Source organism: Homo sapiens, chromosome 1 (assembly GCF_000001405.40).
Source record: "Homo sapiens chromosome 1, GRCh38.p14 Primary Assembly".
Lineage (NCBI taxonomy): Eukaryota > Metazoa > Chordata > Mammalia > Primates > Hominidae > Homo > Homo sapiens.
The window spans coordinates 80063955-80068994 of NC_000001.11; positions in this window are offsets into that span (position 1 = coordinate 80063955).

Consider the following 5040-nt stretch of genomic DNA (forward strand, 5'->3'; position numbering starts at 1 on the left):
TAATGCAAAAAATGTAGAAAGGCAAGCAATAAAAATGATTTGGCCATATAGAAAAGTATCATGGGACTTGAATAGCATGACCAAGAACAGCAATACAGGCCTAACTAGAGGAAAGAAGAAATTCGAAATCAAAATTAGAAACTAGCCATCACTGCTAGCTCTATTTACATATCTATAAATCTCTATATCTATCTATTATCTATCTCTCTATCTGTTTATCTGGACAAACTTAAAAATGCTGAATCTTTGTAGTCATTTAAGAAATAATTAATGCCATATCTCAAGGTACGCAAAGCTCAGAAGCTGTCTGGATGAGCATGGGTGTGGGAGACTGCTTGGCCCTGTTGTGGGCACCCTTGCCATGGTCCTTAGCCCATCAAAGACAGGCGCTCCTATTTCGTGTCAGAGGCTCTGCTTCATTAGTGATCACAAAGCAAATGATGATGACACAATCAGAAGTGTCAGATGACAGGCACTTATGCAGCCACCCTTCCACGAATGATTACCTATTTTCTTCTTGTTGCCTGATCTCCTACTGGATAAAGTCTATAACTTCCTGGCTCCTCATACATTCCAAATACCGTCACAGGTAATGACTTCAATGGCCATAAATGAGAATGACCCTTGATGTCAGGCACTTTGCTAAATATTAGAGATAAAATAAAAGGGTACTATCTCTGACCTCAGGAGTCTTTAAAGATCATTGAGAGATGCATATAAGCAGGGTAGCACAAGTGAGTGTGAATCACTGGAGTGAGTTAGAGTGAGTCAGGCAACCTGTGTTTGAATACCAGCTCTATTACTTTTCAGCTCCATGACCTTGGGCGTTACTTACCCCTTTCCAAGCTTTGTTTTCCATACCTGTAAAATGGAAAGATTAATAGTTCAGATGTTTGAAGGTTAATTTAAAGCAGTAAATGGGAAACTCATATAAAATATTCAGAAGAGTCTTGGCATATAATAATTCAGTATATGACATTATTTTAATTATTATTAGTGGGAGTAGGTATAAGTGATATGCGATATATTAGAAAGGCATTGGGCTCAGATGATAGGGATGATTTCTGGGGGAAGTGACTAGCTGAAGGAAAAAGTAAGTCAGTGAAGGAGAGGAATAAGAGAGGGGATGGAACACACAATAAGACAGAACCTAAGCAGAGAGAGAGTCAGGATGTTCAAACATGTCAAAAATCTTATAGAAGAACAAAGCATTAGGAACCTGAAAGTTGTTCAATATGACTGGAGTTTAGACTTAAAAATCCAACAATGGAAGTACATAAAATAAAGACTTTTGAAATGTACCCAGGGTCTACATTATTTATTTCTGCAAGCCTAATTAAGGAAACCATAGTTAATTATAAGTAGTTCTTATTCTGCATTGTGTATTTAACAATTTCATAGTAATTATTTTGTTGTTTTAAGGTTATGAGATTATTAATGAAAGAAACTTCTGTGTTTGACATGTTTACTATGCTTTATATACACAAAAGATTATGCATAGACTATATCAGGCTTGAGAAAAATTACAAAAAAAATCAGTTAATTCTGTCACACATATGTACATTTATGTGTTATAAATATTTATCATTTTTACATATAAATGTACATACATAGATACAGTCCAGGAAAGGAATTTTAGAAGGATTGTGATTCTAATTTTATAAGCAAAGAAGTTGGAATTCAAAGAAGTTAAATAATTTGCCCAGGGTAATTTAGCTTGCAAATGATAGCATTTTAATCCAATATTCTTTCTGTTACACAGTTCAAAATGCCAGTTGAAAGGTATCTACAAAATTCTAGTTGAAAGATATCTATACTTCTCCCATTTATTTTATTTTTCTTCAACTTAATTAATTTTTGAATAGGTAATGTGTAAAATGAATTTCAAAATACTACAGGCTCTATTTACATTCTGAAATACATCTGCCTCCTAACCTTGCAATTCCCCTTCCTTGAGACAAGCCCACGTTCTGTAGAGACTGCTCCTTGTGCAATTTATCTCTTGGCCTCTATTATCTTAATTAAAATTACTACAGAAAAGTATAAATAGTAGGCTTCTAGTTTTATGACAACTGCTTTTTCATTCAAAACCTCATGTTTCCTTTCTGGCTGCCCCATCTCTCATATTTTCTCCCACTGCAGTTAGTCTGTTACTCAATTATTCACAAAGGCTGTGTAGGAAGCCTGTTTACTAGCCCTGTTTACCAAGCAATTGTGTGAATTTGGGCAAGTAATTCACCTTTTTTGTTCTATAAATTGTCTGCTGGTTGGAATAGCATGTTTTACATTCCTTCTGGCCTGTGGTCTGTAGTTCTTTGAAAGCTTCATCATCATAAATCAATTTCATTGTATCATTTCCCTCTCCAAACTGAAATTGCTCTTTGTTAGAGTCTCAAAAAGATCTTACCTCTGCAAACAATTTTTATTGTCTTATTTCTCGTTAATCCCTCTAATATCCCTTCCACTTAAGCCAGACGAATTGGGTTCTAGTCTATGGCCATCTTTCCTGCTTATGCTGCCAAGTTCCCAGAACTAAACCACTTTTTATTTGCCAATACATGCCTTCTACTTATGTTAAAATTTAATAGTGATTTAGTTTTTCACAGAAGAGAATTTTACTGATTTCTCGGCCCTTACTTTAGTGCTTTCCTCATTAAAAACAACAAACAACAGAAAAAAAAAAACAGCATTTGTCCTGTCAATAAATCACTATTAATTTATTTTGTCTATACTTCTGACATTCTAAGCATATACAAGGAAACGTGTAAACCAAAATGAAGCCTCCATGAGAGTAGAAAGTGTCTTATTTGCTTATTTATCCCAAGTTCATAGAGCAGAGTCTGAGACAGGACACATTCCATAAATATTGGATTAATGAATAAAACATCTTTTTTATTTCATTTCTTTATTATTTTATTTTATTTTATTTTTGCTAAATAAGAGAATAATACACACTCTATTTTGTAGATAGCATTTTATTTTCACTAAGGAAAATTGTTGTGATCTGTCCATACAGGCTAATTCAGAATTGTAGAAACAATATTGTATTCCACTGCTGTTATCTGGCATATTATCAGATAAATTTTATACAAAATGCCATTGCAAGCAATGCTAATGTCCTACATGAGTGAATAAATTCATAAAGTGTATTCCTGCCAATGGAGTCCACAGGACCAAGTACACATAAATTCTAATTGGTCTGTGTTCGAATACTCAGTAGAGGATATCTCATGTCGCACCTTGACCAGAAGTGTATGTGAGTTTTTGTTTCTAAAGTCCCTCAACATCCATTTTGTTATCAAACTTTTTTTTATATTTGCCAATCAGAGTGATTTAAAAAAATGGTTTCCAAAATGAAGTTTTAGGCTTTATTCTCTTATCATGGTTGAAGCTGCTATGTGTCACCTAAGGGCTGTTTTTAGTTCCTCTTATGTTCTCTCCCTATTCATTCCGTATGTCCATTTATCCAATGGGAGTTTTGATGTTTTGTTATTGATTTTAGTGCCTTCTTTATATATAGTTAAAGCATTCGTTTTTTTTGTTGTTGTTTTTTTTTTTTTTTTTTTTTCTGAGATGGACCCTCTCTTTGTCTTCTAGGCTGGAGTACAGTGGTGCGATCTCGGCTCACTGCAACCTCCGCTTCCCTGGTTCAAGCAATTTTACTGCCTCAGATTCCTGAGTAGCTGGGATTACAGGCACCTGCCACCATGCCCAGCTAATTTTTATATTATTAGTAGAGACGAGGTTTCACCATGTTGATCAGGCTGGTCTCAAACTCCTGACCTCATGATCTGCCCGCCTCGGCCTCCCAAAGTGCTGGGATTGCAGGCATGAGCCACCACGCCCGGCCAAGCATTAATTCTTACTCTGTGATTTCAATTACTAATTAATTATTTTTTTCTCAGTTTGTCATTTATATTTTGATTTCTTTTCCACTGGTGCTTATTTTAATGCAGTTTACATAGCAATATTTATGTCATTACCCATTTCTACATTATTAAAAACAATTTTCTGTGTGTTCTCTTTACACTTGTATAGTTCCTTTTAAATTTGAAGTCTGTTTTTTTCATAATTCTTGTTGTGTAAATTGCATCATTCAAGTTATTTTTCTTTTTTTTTTTTGGTTTTTGCTATCTGAAATTCTTTTTTTTTAAATTTTATTATTATTATTATATTTTAAGTTTTAGGGTACATGTGTGCAACGTGCAGGTTTGTTACATATGTATACATGTGCCATGTTGGTGTGCTGCACCCATTAACTCCTCATTTAGCATTAGGTATATCTCCTAATGCTATCCCTCCCCCCTCCCCCCACCTCAAGTTGTTTTTCATTTCTCATAGAGTCGATTCAATTGTATCAGTATCATTTGCCAATACTGATTCAGAGGCCATCTTTATCATGTACTAATTTTTAATATTTATTTTGGACTCTTAATTGGCTTTTCATTTATATATATATATTCAGGCTTCAAACCACAGTGCTCCATTGATGATGTCATATAATATTTTTGAATATAGGAGCAGAGGATTTAGTTTATCAAATTAGTCTCCTTTTTTTGTTTTTATTTATTTACTTTTTTGAGGCAGGGTCTCCTTCTTTTGCCCAGGCTGGAGTGCAGTGGCAAGAACACAACTCACTGTAGCCTACATTATTCTCTTTTAATTTAGACTTTTCTTGACTATACTTCCTTGCCATTTTTCCTTCCAAATGAATTTTAGAACAGTTCTGTGCTTTACTTTTTAAAAAAGAACTGTATGTATTTTTATTAAAACCAAGCTACAATAGAAGATTAATTTGGGAGAACTCATATTTTTATAATGTTGGGTCTTTTAATCCAAAAATGTGGTAAACCTTTTTGTTTATTTACATTTTGGGTTCTTGTTGCTGTTGTTTCTATTTTTCTTTTTTGTGCCTGATAACATTCCATAGCTTTTTTCACATAGCTTTTACATATTTATTGTTAAGGTGATACCTAGATATTACATTATTTTTGTTGTTATAAATGGAGTCTCTTTTAATCATATCTCCTACTACTGTTT